Below are 19,178 nucleotides of genomic sequence, written 5' to 3'. Positions count from 1 at the left end.
TCTAAACAACCCACTTTCAAAGCTCAAAACTATATATTGCACTTGAATAAAGCTTTAAACATAAAGAATTGTGTACTCACATAAGAAGACTTTAAACCTAAACTGAGAATACACCTAAATTGTTTAAGGGGTAAGGAAAAACATTACTGTGAAAGTATAAGTGGATACACTAGAATGATATATGCTGGTGACTTTTTTTTTTTTTGGTTTTGTAAATGGTTCAATTTTTTCCAGAACATCAGCAGAGAATTACAAAATCAAAGGCACAGTCCAAAATATTTTTGTTTATAGAGAAAAATGCACATACGTAATTTAGCTATTATAAACATTTATCTTATCATTATTACCCTGCTCATATTTGGAAAAATTCAAAACTAAATATAAACATTTTTTGCTTGGAGGCTATTATTAATTTTAAGCCTATAATTGAAGGTTAACAATGATCTAGTCCAATATTATTTTACAGACAACAAAAATGAACAAATGGAAAGGTTGCATGGCTTGTAAAAGTGCACACTAGTTAATGATAAAGTCAACCTAGAACCCAGTTATATTTCCACCAGATCAACTTCTTTCCAACTTAAATATCAAATCATCTCTGATTTGAGATATAAAAATAAAGAGGCCGGGCGCAAGGTGGCTCACGCCTGTAATCCCAGCACTTTGGGAGGCCGAGGCGGGCGGATCACGAGGTCAGCAGATCGAGACCATCCTGGCTAATACGGTGAAACCCCGTCTCTACTAAACAAAACACAAAAAATTAGCCGGGCGTGGTGGCGGGCGCCTGTAGTCCCAGCTACTCAGGAGGCTGAGGCAGGAGAATGGCGTGAACCCGGGAGGCGGAGCTTGCAGTGAGCCGAGATCGCGCCACTGCTCTCCAGCCTGGGAGACAGAGCGAGACTCCGTCTCAAAAATAAATAAATAAAAAATTAAAAAAAGAATTCATAAGAGACATGAGTGAAATACCCAGGGTTTGGTGACTCTGGAAAGTAAACTAGCAATAAATGCATAAATACTGCTTTATTCATTTTTCTTAATTTGTCATGGGGATACTTAAAATGTACAAATGGCCTATAGTGACTTTCTTCCAAAAAGTAAAAGTCATTCAGACAAAGCCTATCATATAGACCCCATTACTACACATGGATAATTTACATGCACCATCAACTATTTGGATCTGAAAAACAGCCTTAATATTATCCATATAAATAACAATACAAATGAAATCCAGAGCAGAAACCACAACTTATTTTAGCTATTACACTAAATCTATGTGTAAACTGTAACTAAAGTTAGCACATATTCATTTCACAGTAGAAAATAATAATTATGTAAATTACAATCATGAAAATACAACTAATACAGAGAGCTGTCCCCAGAAATCAGTGTGACGTTCCTAAAATTTCTTAAAGATAATTTAAAATTTAGTTTAAATAAGGTTGAAATACAAATCCTTTTCTTTTCAACTGTCTCTGATAAGGGCACACATGATCATTACATGACCTAAAGCCAGCCAAGACAAAAATGGAGAAGCAAAAGGAACAGTACCCATCACTGAAATTATTCATTCAATAAATATTTTTTGAGTGTTAGATGCTATACTGAGAATTTGAAAGAAAAAAAAAAAAAGACTAAGCAAAAAGCAGATAGAATCACTGCCCTTGTGAAGTTTAACAAAAGCTGATAGAGCTTTTATTAAATATGTTACCCCCCAAGAAGCACTGTATATGTTGAAACTACCCTTATTTTTAAAGCAATTTTTGATGTCTGTATATTATGGTTAAGAAAATCAGCCTTGCTTATGGTTCCATTTACCTACTTTAAAGATATTTACCTATATTTTAAAACACCTAACAGCCTATTTGTCTCAAAAAGTTACATCCTAGACAGCACAAACGGCAAATTAAACGGATACCATATTACTTTACCATTTACAACTCAAAGTGCTGTAATAATTACATTATACAAATACAGTCAATGAAGAAGGTCTTCTTGCTAGATAAACATTTGTAATAATTCAAGTATTTTTTAAAAAGTCACTGTGAGTTATTGCATTTAAGTCCTGGAATAATTATCTGTATTCCACTTAAGATGCTAGACACATTTTTACACAAGAAAAATAACGGAAAAATACAGAGAAATTGCAAAGGAAGAAAAAGTTTCATCATCATCTGATTCTTAAGAGGAATATCACTAGGTGATGATTAGGAGTCTGATGGAGGAAAGTAATTTTAAAACAACTTAATGGCTCAGAGAAGTTCCTAAGAAATTGATGCTTAGGGTTTCAATTTTTCTTAATACTCAGATATAAGACTTAAAGAAAATATATCAGCATGTTAAAAACCAGTTATCTCTGAATACTAGGCTTACTATAAATAGTTCTTTTTTTTTTTTTTTGACGAAGTCTCCCCCTGTGGTCCCGGCTGGAGTGCAATGACGTTATCTCAGCTCATTGCAACCGCCTCCCAGGTTCAATCGATTCTCCTGCCTCACCCTCCCGAGTAGCTGGGATTACAGGAGCCCGCCACCACGCCCGGCTAATTTTTTGTATTTTTAGTAGAGACGAGGTTTCACTATGTTGGCCAGGCTGGTCTCGAACTCCGACCTCGTGATCCGCCCGCCTCAGCCTCCCAAAGTGCTAGGATTACAGGTGTAAGCCACCGCGCCCGGCCCAATAGTAATTATTCTTTTATTGTTTCTATATTTTTCTGAAGGAAATACTACATTTACAGTTATAAAGCATTAAGGAAAGGCAGGCCTTAAAATAAATCATTGACATAAAGACTAGGTATCCTCCACAGTCCCACTCTTAATAACAACTGCAGAACCAGCACTAGCACTGTAGCTGAAAAGTGGATAGTACACACACGCTCACATACACAATGGCTGGCATGTAGTAGGCACTCAACTAACGTGTGAAATGAAATGGCTGAAGATAATGTAAACAAGCCAAAACAACGAAATGCACTCTGATTTGGGGGCAACACAGTAAACAATCACAGTAACTACCACTTTATCCAAAGCTCGCTGACAGCTGAATGGGCATTAAATGAAAGAGCTCTTCTTCCTTGCCCTCCTCTTTCACTCTGACGCTAGATTGCACATTCAAAACAAATCCTCCTCCAGCCCCGCCCCAAGCTCTACCCTCCAGTACCTTCAGCACTGGAACTGACACAAAGTCCAGGGCTGCGACGGTGTCCAGACCCGGGCCCCTGTCCAAGGAGCTGCGCGCTCACAGATTTGGCTGGCGCAACATAGGCGGGGGCACTGGGCGGCAGCCCATCATGCCCGGGACCCCCAAGGACCCGCGCGGAAGCCCAGAGCTCTCAGCCCCGGCGGGAGGCTGGTTCCCCTCGCCCTGCGCTGCCGTACCTGCACACGGTGATCAGGTTCCTCCTCTCCACCGCAGCATTGCGGGCGCTCAGGCTTTTCTTGCCGCCTCCGCCGCCACCGCCGCGGATCCCGCTCAGGCCCCCCAGGCTCCGGGAGGCCATGGCGGGCTTACCCCCGTGCCCCTTTTGTCTCGTGCCACCCCGCACGCCCCCCACACCTGCTTAAGGGGGTTCTCGCTCGGTCCGCAACCGTGGGGGCGCGGGAAGGATGTAGGAAAGGAGCCTGGAGGGAGGAAGGGTGTGGAAGACAGCAGGGACTCGCACCCGGGGACTGACGGCTCGCCCTTGGCACCCGAGCTCCACACACACACACACACACACACACACACACACACACACACGCACGCACGCACCACCTCCGCCCTCGGCGCGCCGCCGACTGCCGGGCTGCGCCTGCGGGTCGGCGTCAGGCGCTCTCCTCCTTCCCGAGGGACCTCAGCAGACGGCGCGCGCGCGAGCCCGTCGGCCCCTCACGCCCAACCACCCACACTCCGCAGCCACTCGTGCCCCAGCCCGGGAGGCAGCGGCAAGGCCCCCGGCCTCGCGTGCGCAGCCCCACCCTCTCTGCGCCTATCAAATCAACGCTACCCCCGCCGGATCCAATCGCGGCACCAGAGGGGCGGGGCCGGCCGCGCGGACCTTTTAAAGCAGCGGGCTCAAGCCCCGCCCCGACGCGTGGGCTGCTGTCAAGGACGCTGGGCTCGCTTTCGCAGCCCGCTAGCTGCCGCCAGTAGCCACACAGGCTAGCCGCGGGGATTGTGGGATGCGGGGCCCCACAGCGCCAGGGGCCTATTGCCCCCCCCTTGCCTGTAGCCAAGCTTTAACGGCTGATACCTATTTGCGTGGCTGCCGTAGCTTCAGTGCCTGCCTAGAAAGCAGCGCGCCGGCTCCCACACCCGACCTTGGGCCTAAGTACTAAGAAGGGAGGAGGGTTCCTTTTGTCCTGACGCCCTCCCAGGGGCTAATAAACAGCAACACAATGGCCCGAGGGGGGAATTGCTCGTAGAATCTCCTTCTTGGCGCGTCTAGTGCCGACATTTCTTGCCCCTCCACACCATGTCGCTCCCACCTCAGCCTCCAGCGCAGCCCGCACCCGGGACTGACGGCCCGCCTAAGGAGGAGCGTGGTGCCAGTGTAGAGTCTTTTCGCGTCCTGGGCCGTGACTCCGGAATCGGGAGTCCGGGTCTGGGAATAGTAAGCCCAGGAACGACGCGGCCTCGGTCCAGCTGGGCTGCTCCCTCAGAGTCCTGGAACGCCCTCCTCGACGCGCGTGTTCGGAAGCGCCCCCTTCCTAGAGCTTCTCACTACCCACCGTTTTACCTGCAGGAGGGTCCCAGCTTGGGTCAGGTCCTCTGACACTCACCTACGCCTGCTGTTCACCTCCCTTTGCACCAATATGCCCAGATTTTAGAGTGCAATCCTAAATGACTTACTCTCCCTATGGGACCTAGCACAGTGCTGTACATAGAACAGGTTCTCAATAAATGTTTCTCGAATTTAATTTGAAGTCACATTTGACATAATTTTTACTGAAATTTCACGGCTTCAGTGGCTCCAAAATCCATGTATCTTTCACCTCTACTTTTGAAGTTTCTGTCAAAGAATGTCAGAGAATATATAGTTTTGTGTGGCTATCTCTATTTTTCTTATATATTATCCCTGTTAATGCAGGGCATACTGTTACTCTTGAATGTTTTAACAACGCACGTTTGTGTAATAAAGTTGTAAATTCCTAATTTCTGAGGTTTTTAAAGTTTAAAAATCTCTATTTAAAATAGTCAAAAAATCATCCTTTTCAGCTACCATGTCTAATTTTATTCTACTATTCTGTTTAGTAGAATAAAAATATATGGGCTGGGCGCGGTGGCTGACGCCTGTAATCCCAGCACTTTGGGAGGCTGAGGCGGGCGGATCACGAGGTCAGGAGTTCGAGACCAGCCTGACCAACATAGTGAAACCCCATCTCTACTAAAAATACAAAAATTAGCCGGGTGTGGTGGCACGCGCCTGTAGTGGCAGCTACTCGGTAGGCTGAGGCAGGAGAATCGTTTGAACCCGGGAGGCGGAGGTTGCAGTGAGCGGAGACTGCGCCAGTGCACTCCAGCCTGGGCGACAGAGTGAGACTCCATCTCTCTCTCTCTCTCTCTCTCTGACATATATATGACATATATATGACATATATATGACACATATATATGACACATATATATGACACATATATATGACACATATATATGACACATATATATGACACATATATATGACACATATATATGACACATATATATGACACATATATATGACACATATATATGACACATATATATGACACATATATATGACACATATATATGACACATATATATGACACATATATATGACACATATATGACACATATATATGACACATATATATGACACATATATGACACATATATATGACACATATATATGACACATATATGACACATATATATGACACATATATGACACATACATATGACACATATATATGACACATACATATGACACATATATATGACACATACATATGACACATATATATGACACATATATATGACACATATACGACACATATATATGACACATATACGACACATATATATGACACATATATGACACATATATATGACACATATATGACACATATATATGACATATATATGACACATATATATGACATATATATGACACATATATATGACATATATATGACACATATATATGACAATATATATGACACATATATATGACAATATATATGACACATATATATGACAATATATATGACACATATATATGACAATATATATATATATATATATATGTCTCAGCCTGGGCGACAGAATGAGACTCCATCTCTCTCTCTCTCTCTCTCTCTATATATATATATATGTACATATACATATATATGTACATATATATATATATATTCCTCTCTCTCTAGCCATACGTATATAGTGTCAGTCTTAACTAATGTGCTATGATAAATATTCATTCATACATTAAAATTTTAAGAAAACAATTTAGTCAGACTTTACACTTTATCTTTCAAGTTAATAAAAGCAGGCGAAATTTCTATATATGGATGTTTGTGACTAGTCAGTGCACTTCTTCCAGAACATTACGTGTCTGCTCTCCTGTGACACGGAGGCTTATAAAGAGTCTTCTTTTCCTAGGAGCTACAACTTAACTTGTCTCTTCTTGCTAGTTCAACAGTTTGGATTCAGAAGTAGCCATCAGGAAACAGATGCACTGGTTATGCAGGCAGTCTCAGCAAAATATTTGCGCTGGCAATGACAAATACTACTCAAATTGATGTTGTTATTATTTAACCACAGATAAAACTGCAGAAAGAAAAGAGTGGAAAACCATCAGTTATCAATAAAATTTCTAAAAACCGATGCTTGGGTGTGTCGTGAGTGAGGGAGAGAACACACATGCCTCTGAAGCATTTATCAAGAAGATAAAAGTGAGTGGTCATGACAGAACGAGAAAAGTGAGATGTTAATATCCTCAAAATTGGCTTCCTAGCCTCCAGTACATGTTCATGTTATTTTCACTGTGAACTATGACTGAAAACTTAGTAAAACTCCATCTTAAATGATGAGGTAATCGTGTTATTTTTCTTTTTTCTTTTTTTTTTTTGAGACGCAGTCTCGCTCAGTCGCACAGGCTGGAGTGCAGTGGCAGGATCTCCGCTTACTGCAAGTTCCGCCACCCGGGTTCATGCCGTTCTCCTGCCTCAGCCTCCCGAGTCGCTGGGACTACAGGCGCCTGCCACCACGCCCGGCTAATTTTTTTGTATTTTTAGTAGAGACGGGGTTTCACCGTGTTAGCCAGGATGGTCTCGATCTCCTGACCTCGTGATCCGCCCTTCTCGGCCTCCCAGAGTGCTGGGATTACAGGCGTGAGCCGCCGCGCCCAGCCATAACGTTATTTTTCAAATGTTACTCTTAGAAGGATTTAGTTGACATGTTAGTACTTGCTTACCAAGACTTTGCCATAAACAAGCTGTGTTTTTCTTTTTTGTTTTGTTTTGTTTTGCATGTATGGAGTGTCATTACACTGCCACATGGGGGCCTTATTTGATAAGGCTTTTCTCATTTATCCTAAGTAGTATGTCCTGGGTCTCTTTCTCCCTCTAGATTACTAATCTGGATATTGTCAATCAATTTATTCAGTACACAGCATAATACTATTATAGAACTCCATGAGTCCACGTTACTTTTTGGACTTCTTTTGGCACCTATTTCAATTATTTTTATTTATTTAAGCATTGCACAAAGGTATTCAAAGATTTTACAAAGAGTCACAGTAAAAATTATGAAAACAGTAGATACCTAAATTAACTTATAGGAATTCTGTAGAACCGAATGGGCAGAACATACCCATTCACCGTTTTCCCAACTTCCTTCTTCTCATCGAAACAGACAAAATTACAAGTGCAACATATAAAATGTCCTCAAATATAAAATACTATAAAATGTATATATAAAGTGCTATAAACCAGAGAGATCACCAAACCATAGTTTATTCTAGTCTCAGAGAAGTGGACTTTTTAAATATGCCATAAACCCAGCATCTGTACAGAAGAAACTAGAAACATTGAAGATGTAAGTTTTTTTAATTTTTATTTACTTTGACGTCAGATGGGTAATATGCTGACATCATAACAAGGATTGGGTGAGGCACGTCTCACATGTGTGTGAAAGCTCAATCATCACGCTTATGAACCACAAATGGATAGATATAAATTTTTTCAAATCCACAAATCAAGTATCATCATAAGCAAAGTCAAAAGTAAATGAGACCGAGAAAACATTTTTAAAACTCAAATCATAGACAAAGAGCTAATTTCCTCTATAAAATACTCCTGCAGATCAATAAGCACTGTTTCAGTGGCACAATGAATGTGAAAGCCAAATTCCAGTGAGTAAAAAGTCAGTGGGAAGTGAGTATCACACAATCTTAAAAAGTTATGAAAGGGGAGAAAAAAAGAGTGGTGGTATGGGGGAATATTGAACAGAGGGACATTGGTGTTTTATTGCTATCATGTCATTATTTTTCACAGAAGTGACTTGAGCATATTTTGAAGCTGATGCAATGAATCTACTGGGAGGGAAAGGTTAGTAATGCAAGAGAGAAAAAAAAACTATCAGAAGCGAGCATGAAGAAAATGTATGAAAATTGCTTTAAAAAAAAAAAGTCCATGTGAGAGTAAGTCAAGAGAAGCAGAACACTCAGGGGAGGTATGGGTTTCCGTTGAGAAGAGGAAGCAGAAAGACCATTCCAAAGAATTGGAGAATGCAAGGTAGTATTGGTCATAGAGCAAAAGTTCCAGAGAGCATCATGGAAGGGAGTGCAGACAGGGTCATGGGCCAGGAAGCGCGAAGCGTGCTCATTAATAGGGTATGGATAGTGAGGTGGGTATTACAGGCTATGACAGACACATAATGAAGAGTACCTTGATGGGTCTCACAAACTGTTCTCTGTAAAAAGTCATTGGGTAAAGGCTGATTGAAACAAAGTGGATTTGGTCCTACAGTTTCTTTGAGGAGGGCAAATACTGACCCTCAGTTCGAACAGAGGATATTTTTCTTTTTAAAATTTTTTATCATGTAGAAGGGCATTAACAAACCAGAAATTATAGACTCCAGACATTGTATGCATTGCATCAATTAATCATCAGAACCGTTCTCTAAAGTAAGTATTATTATATTCTCCCATTTACAAACAAGGAAACAGAGACTTGGAGACATTAAGTAACATATAGAAAGTCACATAGTAAATGGCAGAGCCAGGATTGAAATCTAAATCATTAGCTAGAAAATCTATTATTTTTTTAAATTTATTATTTTAAAGACAGGGTCTTACTCTGTGGCCCAAGATGGAGTACAGTGGGTAATCATGGCTTACCTCGGCCTTGAACTCCTGGGCTCAAGGGATACTCAAAGGGCTTAGCCTCCTAAGTAGCTGGGACTACAGGCATGCACCACCACAGCTGCCTAGTGTTTTTTATTTTTAAAAATGTTTTACTGAGACAAGGTCTCACTATGTTGCCCAGATTGCTCATGAACTCCCGGTCTCATGCGATCCTCCCTTCTTGGCCCCTCAAGTGTGGGGATTACAGGCATGCACCACCATGACTGGCCCATAATTTATTGTTTTTTCTAACATGTTTCACTGCCTTTTTGAGAAAGTAACTCCAGATAAGGCTTAAACACAAAACTCCCATACTGTACACATAGTTCTTAAGAATCAAGAAGGATTTTACACACTGACCAACTGTATCACTCATGCAATATAGTCTCTAGATAATTCTGGAGCTCAGGCTTTCATTTTTTATTCAGAAAGTGTATTCTGAATCAAAAGATATGCATAATTTTAACCACAAATTAAATTTTTTCCTAGAGATGTTTTACCAATTTACATCCTACTAACAGTACATAAGTTTTCTTGCACTCTTGCTCACTCTAGGGACTATTGTTCTTTTTATTTTTCTGCATAACAAGCAAAGAGCAATATCTTTTTGATATTTTAACTTGTTTTTCATTAGTAATGAAAATGCACATTTATTTTGTGCACTTATTGTTCATTTATGTTTTGCCCGTTCATGCCCTTTACCCATATTTTCCAAAAAATATTAGTCTTCATTATAGTGGCTCATGATCATATTTGTTTATTGTATGTATGGCAAATACTTTTCCCAGTTCGTTGTTTGCCTTACCTATGGTGTGAGTTATTTATAAAGAGATGTTTAAAAAATTTTATATAAATGAAATTCATCAATATTTTCCTTTATTGGTTTTTCCTTTGATCATTTTAGAATAGCCTTTGCCACCTCCAAGATTATATACTTTATGGTTACTTTTTTATATCAAAAATAGTTAACCTATTTGCACTATGTGAAGGTATGAAATTAGAATATAACTTCATTGTTCCAATGATTAACCACTGTCCCAATTCTATTTATTAAATGATCCATCTTTGCCTTACTGCCAATATTAAATTTATCATGAAATAATTAAATAACAAGGTTGCATTTTAATAAAGAATTGTGCCCATGATAATAAATCCATAGAAACAGCTAACATTAATGTTTCACAACAACTTTTTTTGGATAGGTCTCCAGACATACAAAAGAGAAATATATACTTAATTTTACCTAAATCAGTTTATTCTACACACAGTCAATATATTTTCTCACCAATCTGTTACTATGTGTTTGTATTTGTTTATGATTTGTTTCCCATAGAAATTTTGAATTTTTATGCAATCAAATTTTCGTTTTTTTAATAATTTCTGGTTTTCACACAATGTTTAGAAAAGCTTCTGTATGGTAAGATAATAAAAGTGTTTACCAATTTTTCTGTAGTGTTTTTGCATTCACATATTTGATATTTATAGAGTTATCTTTGTGTAAGAGTCAATTGGTGAAAGAGCCTAATTTTTCCAAACAGTCAATACTTATCTAATGCTAGTATTAAATAATGCATACTTTCCCACTGATATAAAATGCTACCTTTGTCAGGTACTAAATGTATACAATTTTAGTCTACTGCTGGATTTTCTATTTTCATCCATTGATTTATCATTTATGAGCTAGTGGTACCAAAATCTAATAAGTGGCAAAGCCTGGTAATTATTTTTAACATCTCGTAAGGTTAGTGTTCCCTAATTATTCTCTTTCAGAATGTTCTTAGGTAATTCTGGAATGTCTGTTCTTCCATAGAAACGTAAGAATCATTTTGACACATCTCTCTCACCAAGAAAAGCCTATAGGGATTCTAATTAGAATTGCATGATATTTATAGATTAGGTAAAATTAACATCTTCCCAATATTTGCAATGATCTAAGATGACAGTATGTCTATTTCTTCACATTTTTTTTTTATTTCACTTGGTGGCGTTTCATAGTTTTATCATGGAGTTTCGGACTGGTATTATGAGTAAGGTTTTTTGTATGAGTAGGGTTCTTTTTTTCCACTACACTTCCTAAATAGTTGCAATATTTACACAGGAAAGCTATACATTTTTGCACAATCACCTTTTAACATGTATTTATTGTTTTTAATAAATTTTCAGATTCTGTTGGTTTGATTTTTATGCAGTCAAATTTTTGTATTTTTACTTTTATAATTTTTGGTTTTCACATGAATCTTAGAAAAGATTTTCTGTGCTTAGATTATAAAAGTGTTTACCCATTTTTTGTTATGATTCTGTTGGTTTTCTAGGCACTAGCTCAGAAAAATAAAGATTAATGGTGAAGTTAGTGGAACAACACGTAAATCTCTTTAACATTAAGAATTTGCTTTCAAAACTAAAATACTGGAATACCAATTCCACGAAGTAATTTTCTGTAAATTATCTCATGCAACGGATTCAAATGCAAACTCTTTAGAAAAAAAAACCCTATTGAAGATATTTTGGCAAAGACTAAACATCAATTAGAAACGAGTTACTCGCCTGTAATCCCAGCACTTTGTGAGGCCGAGGTGGGTGGATCATGAGGTCAGGAGTTCGAGACGAGCCTGACCACCATGGTGAAACACTGTCTCTACTAAAAATACAAAAATTAGCTGGGTGTGGTGGCACGCGCCTGTAGTCCCAGCTACTCAGGAGGGTGAGCAGAAGAATTACTTGAACCCGCAAGGTGGAGGTTGCAGTGAGTCAAGATCGTGCCATTGCAGTCCAGCCTGGGCAACAGAGCGAGACTCTGTCTAAAAAAAAGAAAGAAAGAAAAAAAAAGAAAAGAAAAAAATGAGTTACTCACAAACGTCTAAACAGGATTTTCAGCTATGATGTCAAGAAAAATCTTGTTTTGATTTTTCCTATGGATAGACTAAATGAGACTTTTTCTCATAAAATAATTTTTAAGAAAATGTTCCCTCAATAATCCACAAGCAATCTCTCAGTAATCCACAAGTAATCTTTAAGAGGATTAAAAGACATTTTAGTACCAATTTACTATATCCACGGCTGAATTCTGCTTATGCAAGCTTAAAATATAACAAAATGACAATGATATTAATGATCGCCCCTTGAACTTTCAGGATCAAAATATGTCAAAATGACAATGGCATTAATGATTCCTCTTGAAATCTCAAGGTCAGTTTATTCATATATATATATATATACACACACACACACACACATGTGTTTGTGTGTGTGTATATATAAAAATAAGTTTACAGTCAGTACGATTTCTGCTTAGTGTTCAAAAATTGGACAGCAGCAATCTTCAACTCATAAATTTGGCCAAGTATATTTACCTGTGTCAACCAATAAACCTTAGTAAGAAAAAGAAGAATGTTGTGGTTATCATTCAGATATTTGTCAAGTTTACTTTTTTTTTTTTTTTTTGAGATGGAGTTTTGCTCTATCACCCAGGCTGGAGTACAGTGGCACAGTCTTGGCTCACTGCAACCTCTGCCTCCTGGGTTCAAGTGATTCTCCTGCCTCAGCCTCCTGAGTATCTGGGAATACAAGCATGTGCCACCATACCCAGCTAATTTTTGTATTTTTTGTAGAGACGGGGTTTCGGCATGTTGGCCAGGCTGGTCTCAAACTCATGACCTCAAGTGATCTGCCCACTTGGCCTCCCAAAGTGCTGAGATTATGGGTGTGAGCCACTGTGCCCAGCCAAGCTTACATTTCATTCATTGTGGTTTATATAATTGACCTTGATAGTGAGGTTAATATCTTCTCAAATATTTACTGACAAATTTGGAAGCCAATGTTTAGCAGTTATATTAGTTTTCTATTGTTGTATAACAAATTACACAAACAGATGGTTTAAAAACACCCATTTATTAGCTGAAAGTTCTGTAGGTCAGAAGTCTGGCACAGCACAGGTGGGTTTTCTGCTCAGGGGTTCCTAAGGCTGAAATCAAGGTTTCAGTTAAGCTATGTCCTCAACTGGAGACTCTGGGAAAGAATCTACTTCCAAGCTCATTCAAGTTGTTGGTAGAATCCCATTGTAGTTGTAAGAGTGGGGTCCCTGATTTCCGGCTGGCTTTTGACTGAGTGTTGCTGTGAAGCCCATTGCATATGGCTTCCTCCATCTATCAAATTTCATGATTCAAATTTCTGACTTCTTCTACCCCTAACTAAAGAATTCTCTCTGCTTTTAAAGGGCTCATGTGATTAGATTTCGCCTACCTAGATAATCTCCCTATCTCAAGGTCAACTGATTAGTAACCTTAATTACATCTGCAAGATCCCTTTGCTTTGCAAAGTAATGTAATCACAGGAGTAATACCAGGGAGCCAAGATCATAAGGACCATTTTAGAAATCTGTGAACCACAGTGGTGAAAGAAGGAACACATTCTCTACAGAGATGTATATTAAGTGTCTGTTAACCTGGCATTGTCCTCCCCAACCAAAACTATTTCTATTGATAGGCTTATAGGAATTTGGATACAGCTAAATTCAAAGCGACTATTAACCTCCTGGTAGTCTCCAAGACTATCAGCCTACTGGTAGTCCCCAAACATTTGTTGTATTTATTTATTCAATAAATATTTTTTAGTTGCCCATTAAGTGACAGACACTATGCTATACTGTGGGTGTACAATGGTGAGCAAAAATTCCTGCTCTCATAGAGCTTAAGATTTAGATGGGAGAGAGAGGTATCAAAACCTAAAGAAATCAACATATACATATTTATACCGTATGATAAATGTTCCAAAGGAGAGAAGAACATATAAAAGAAGTTGGGGCAGGACTCCAGGAGGCACTATTCCTACAGAAGATAATGTCAACAGGGCCCCCGGAATTAGACAACACTCTTGCCCTGCAAGGGTGCCAGGGAAGGAAGTAATGACTGAATTCTGGTATGAAGGAAGAATAGGAGTGAACTAGGTAAAGCAGCTCGAGGTAGGAGAAACTATCCAGGCAGAGGAAGAGTATGTACAAATGGCCTGTGGCTGGAGGAAATACACTGTGCCTGAAGTTAATGTGGCTGGAGCTCAGAGAGTAAGGAGGATCAGGAGAGTATGGCTAGACAGAAGGCCAGAGAGGAAGATAGGATTTGTTTTATTCACAGGCTCACTGATCACATTAAACATTTTCATCTTTATCCTAAGAATGTTGAGAAGCCCTTGGAACAGTTTGAAACCAAAGGCTTACAAGATCAGATCTGAGTTTTGAAATGCTCATTCTGGCTGCCATGTGGAGAATGGTGGAGAACATTAAGTACAAACTGCTGCCCCAAAATGATTTCACAGCACTCCGAATGCAAGATTTCTTTAGCTTCCCTAAAGACTTAGGACTACAGTCTTTGTGATTGGAAGCTCTAGTTCTTGTTTTAAAACTTTAGTAAGTTCCTGATAATAGGTGGCAGTAATGTGCAATCTCATGTACTGAGCCTAGTTGTACTCTACAGAAGAAGACAAACAATAGTCACTCTGCTCCTTTTTCAACAATGTGCTGTGTTTTGCCTCAGATGGAAGGACACATGTTGTCATTGTTAAATGTTTTCTAAACTTTAACACAGTGAGGTTCTCAGAAAACATCTCCTTTATAATATATGGGGATCCTTGACATACACATTACCAAAGTTTTGGTTTTCTGGGACTTTGTTATCTTCTATCAAAAAGAAAAGTACATTGGAGAACAGATAAGAATTTTTTGGACAACTGACAATGTTTAAAGGGAATATCTGAGTATAAGATTGCCTGGTTATGCATGAGTTCTCTCTTCCCTTAAGTGAAATTTAGCAAACAGATCCATGTCTTCAACCACTTAAAGGTATCCAAGTCAACAGATCTAGATAATCTCATTTTACTAATTTTGTGATTCCCAGATTGCAGGCTCAGGAAGAACTCTAATTTCATGGGCTACATAGAATATATAACCCAAATCAACTTGTATCCCACTCCCATGAGCTCATCTCTCCTCCCCTTGTCACACAAACCCATTCCCTACTAGGCCTCACCAATAATTTGTGCAAGTTTGCTTGCTATCTCTTAGATGAAGAGACAGACCAATTCTAGCTGCCCTTATCATAAGGGAAGAGACCAATTGGTTTCTTATCACAAGAGAAGAGACCAGTTGGTCTCTAGACCAATTCTAGCTGCCCTTATCACAAGGGAAGAGCATATACAAATGGCTCTTAGTTTTGCTCTTCATGAATTATATGACCTTGGGAAAACTGTATAATTTCTATGTACTTTGGTTTTCTGATCTCTAAGGTTGGGATAATAATGATAGTACATATGGTAATTTCACAGGAGCTGGGACAAGATAAATGAGTAACTAATGAAACTCTGATATTTACCTGGTGGGGAGATACCATGATCATAAACGAAACTCTTAGGGCATGATGTGTAGCAAGTGCTGCAGAATTGTTAGCTGTTTTCATTAGTTGTCCTTCCTTAAGATATTCCAGTGAATATCAAGTCTGATGGCTTGGCAAGAGCTCCATGATTTTGACCTTAACATTGTTTCTGCTTAAAACAAAACAAAACCAAGAAATTGTGTCAGCTCCAGATTGCACAAAACATCCATCACTTCTTATCACATATTTCCCCTTCTTCATAGTCTTATAACAAACGCTTTATAGTCTTTCAGGTTTGACGAAAAAGGTTTCTTGGATTATCTTCATGCTTTTCTTATATATATTCACTCTGCACAAGATGTCCAATGCCTCACAATGCAGAAATCACAACAAACTAACAATAGCCCAGAATACTGATATTTAAGATATCTTATTATTCCGAGTAATAGACAATACCATTTTGGATATAAATAACACTCAGGTACATAATTTTAGAAGGTAGATGCTTATTATTTTATACCACTACTATAAAATATAACTTTATGTTAAAATCTACCTTAAAGTATCTTATACTAGGCAATAGCTATAAAGGTATAAATTGTACCTTCTATTTACTATGAACTTAAGTATTAGCAAAGCCACGCATGAGCTTGTTATGCTCTCCTCAATGCTTGCTTTCTCAGTCTTCTGAATATCTCACCATCCCCATCAGGAAAAAATATTTGGTAGATTTTTACTCTCTGTAGTTTGTGTTCAAAAATCATTTTTTTCCAATAGGAAATCAGATTAAATGCACCTTTCAAACTTAAACCCTAGAGATTCTGATATGGCTTCTTACCCTTCTTTTCCTTTCTCCTTTGATCACTTCTTATTAATAGGCTATTTTAACAACTGTATCACAAAGTCTACAAATTATATTATCATGGCATGTAAGGCCTTTTGCAATCTTGTTGGTGCTACCCTCAAAATATATCCAGAGTCTAAGCACTTTTCATTATTCCCACTATTACACTCCCCTGGGCTCACCTGGATCATTGAAACAGCTTCCCAGCTTCCAGCTGTTTCTGCCCTTGGCTCCCTACAGTCTGATTTCAATTTAGTAGCCAGAGTGATGAGATTATGTTACTTCTCTGCTCCAAACTCTTCAATGGTTTTCTCTCTCACTCAGAGTGACGAAGTCCTCAAGATAGCCTACACATCCTGCAGGATCTAACCATATGTCACTTCTCTGACATCATCTCCTACTGCTCTTTTCCTTTGGTTACACCACTCCAGCCACACTGGCCTCTTGTTAACTCTCAGTGGACTAAACACACAGCACAACCTTATTTATCCATTAATTGAACCAATATTGAGGAAGCCCTTACTCTGTGTAGAGGCTTTTGGGGATTATAGAAGTGGACAAGATAGACAGAGCTCCTTCCTTTGTGAATGTATAGTGTAGCAGGAGAGATAAGAAACAATGCAATAAGAATAAAAGGCAAGGCTGGGCGCAGGGGCTCACACCTGTAATTCCATCACTTTGGGAGGCCGAGGCGGGCGGGTCAGGAGATCAAGACCATCCTGGCTAACACGGTGAAACCCCGTCTCTACTAAAAATACAAAAAATTTAGCAGGACATGGTGGCGGGCACCTCTAGTCCAGCTACTCGGGAGGCTGAGGCAGGAGAATGGCATGAACCTGGGAGGCAGAGCTTGCAGTGAGCTGAGATGGTGCCACCGCACTCCAGCCTGGGCAGCAGAGCATGACTCCGTTCCCCGGCCCCCCCCACCAAAAAAAAACACCTACACACACAAAAACAAACAAACAAACAAAAAGAATAAAAGGCAAAACCATTAGTAATTATTATAAGTACCTAAACATGCTATTAAACTGGATATTAGCAGGAGAGACAGGAAACAATGTAACAAGAATAAAAGCCAAAGCCAATAGTAATTCTAAATATCTAAACAGGCTGTCTATTAACACATCTCAGTTTGCTTTATTTTAGATCGCAACACTCTTGTTACACAAGATTCATCTTGAAAAATATCTTTATTTAATCTGATGCTTTGTGATGCAAGGTCATGAACTGAAATGCCATAAACTAGAAGATGCTGTAATCTATCACACATAAATATTAGTCAAGCTTGTTTCTTTCCCTTTCTTTCTCTTTCTTTCATTCTTTCTCTCTTTCTTTCTCTTTCTCTCTTTCTTCTTTCTTTCTTTCCCTTTTTCTTTCTTTTCTGAGATAGAGTCTTGCTCTGTTGCTCAGGCTGTAGTGCAGTGGCATGATTGCTCACTGTAACCTCAAATTTCTGGGCTTAAGTAATCTTCCTGCCTCAGCATCCCTAGTAGCTAAGAATACAGGTGCATGCCACCACATCTGGCTAATTTGTTAATTTTTCTTTAGAGACAGGGTCTCACTATGTTGCCCAGGCTTGTCTTGAACTCCTGGCCTCAAGCAATCTTCCTGCTTTGGCCTCTCAAAGCACTGGGATTACAGGCATGAGATTCTTCACTCATCATATTATAATTATTTTGGTTTATAGTAGAGAACTAACTTCATAAAGTAAAAAAAAAAATACAATATTTAGAATTGTTTGTCCAAAAATAGAGGATATTAAATATTATCATAAAACTAAAGGATAATTTAACACAAACCAAGTTTGTCTAGATTAATAAATAAGAATAAACTTTCCAAAACTGGTAATTTCTTTTTATAGATCCATTTTTGACTAAAGGAACATAGGTTTTATGGCTAAGGGAAGTATTTTAAAAATAATCTCAACTTTTATTTTAGATACAGAAGGTATATGTGCAGGTTTGTTACATGGGTATATTGTATAATGCTGAGGTTAAGGTTATGAAAGATCCCATGGCCCAGGTAGTGAGCATAGTTCCCAATAGATCAACTCTTGCTCCCCTCCCTCTCTCCCTCTTTAGTAGACTCCAGTATCTATTGTTGACATCTTTATGTCTGAGTACCCAATATTTGGCTCCCATTTGTAAATGAAAGCATGTGGTACTTAGTTTTCTGTTTCTGTGTTAATTCACTTAGGATAATGGCCTTGTTGCAGCAAAAGACATGATTTTGTTCTTTTTTTATGGCTCTGTAGTATTCCATGGCGTATATGTGTCACATTTTCTTTATTCAGTCCACCATTGATGGGCATCTTGGTTAATCCTATGTCTTTGTTATTGTGAATAGCACTGCAATGAACATATAAGCACATATGTCTTTTTGGTAGAACAATTTATTCTCCTTTGGGTATATACCTGGTAATGGGATTGCTGGGCCAATTGGTAGTTCTCTTTTAAATTTTGAGAAATCGAAAGTCCTTGCCAGAGCAATCAGGCAAAAAAAAAAAAAAAAAAAAAAAAGAAATAAAGGACATTCAAATTGGAAAAGAGGAAGCCAAATTATCTCATCAATGATATGGTCTTATGCCTAGAAAACCCTAAAGCCTCCTCCAAAATACTTCTACATCTGATAAATAAG

General features: G+C 38.9%; 2 protein-coding genes and 1 non-coding gene across 12 annotated transcripts in view, besides 4 other annotated features; 1 reads left to right on the top strand and 2 right to left on the bottom strand.

Moving 5' to 3' along the window:
- The window catches only part of RUNDC3B (RUN domain containing 3B), a 203,899-nt gene extending 199,979 nt beyond the window's left edge, over positions 1-3,920 (bottom strand). For 7 of the 8 annotated variants that reach the window (NM_138290.3, NM_001394224.1, NM_001394227.1 and 4 more), the window contains exon 1: positions 3,373-3,920. In NM_138290.3, coding sequence (NP_612147.1) covers positions 3,373-3,494 — 122 coding nt within the window. In that variant the 5' untranslated portion in view covers positions 3,495-3,920. Of the gene's footprint in view, positions 1-3,009 lie in introns of all 8 variants that reach the window. The other variant, NM_001394228.1, reaches the window with a different exon arrangement.
- Positions 1-19,178, top strand: part of ABCB1 (ATP binding cassette subfamily B member 1) — a 210,279-nt gene that overhangs the window by 80,978 nt on the left and 110,123 nt on the right. The gene's annotated exons all lie outside the window — the stretch shown is intronic.
- Positions 3,676-3,725: a silencer, noted in NCBI's record as "silent region_18351". NCBI's record gives its function as "represses an Ori minimal core promoter by ATAC-STARR-seq in GM12878 lymphoblastoid cells {active_cell/tissue: GM12878}" and the evidence as "EXISTENCE:reporter gene assay evidence [ECO:0000049][PMID:35858748]".
- Positions 3,776-4,005: a silencer, noted in NCBI's record as "silent region_18350". NCBI's record gives its function as "represses an Ori minimal core promoter by ATAC-STARR-seq in GM12878 lymphoblastoid cells {active_cell/tissue: GM12878}" and the evidence as "EXISTENCE:reporter gene assay evidence [ECO:0000049][PMID:35858748]".
- Positions 3,776-4,165: a biological region, named in NCBI's record as "Sharpr-MPRA regulatory region 13989".
- Positions 3,871-4,165: an enhancer, noted in NCBI's record as "tiled region #13989; K562 Activating non-DNase unmatched - State 24:Quies". NCBI's record gives its function as "activates a minimal TATA promoter and a strong SV40 promoter by Sharpr-MPRA in K562 cells {active_cell/tissue: K562}" and the evidence as "EXISTENCE:reporter gene assay evidence [ECO:0000049][PMID:27701403]".
- LOC124901834 (small nucleolar RNA U13) lies at positions 8,060-8,161 on the bottom strand. Its single transcript, XR_007060670.1, has one exon. It is a non-coding gene; the product is annotated as a small nucleolar RNA U13 (small nucleolar RNA).

This window comes from Homo sapiens, chromosome 7, assembly GCF_000001405.40.
Source record: "Homo sapiens chromosome 7, GRCh38.p14 Primary Assembly".
Taxonomy (NCBI): Eukaryota; Metazoa; Chordata; class Mammalia; order Primates; family Hominidae; genus Homo; species Homo sapiens.
Note: the sequence above shows the minus strand (reverse complement) of the source record. Positions and strands in the feature narration are given on the sequence as shown.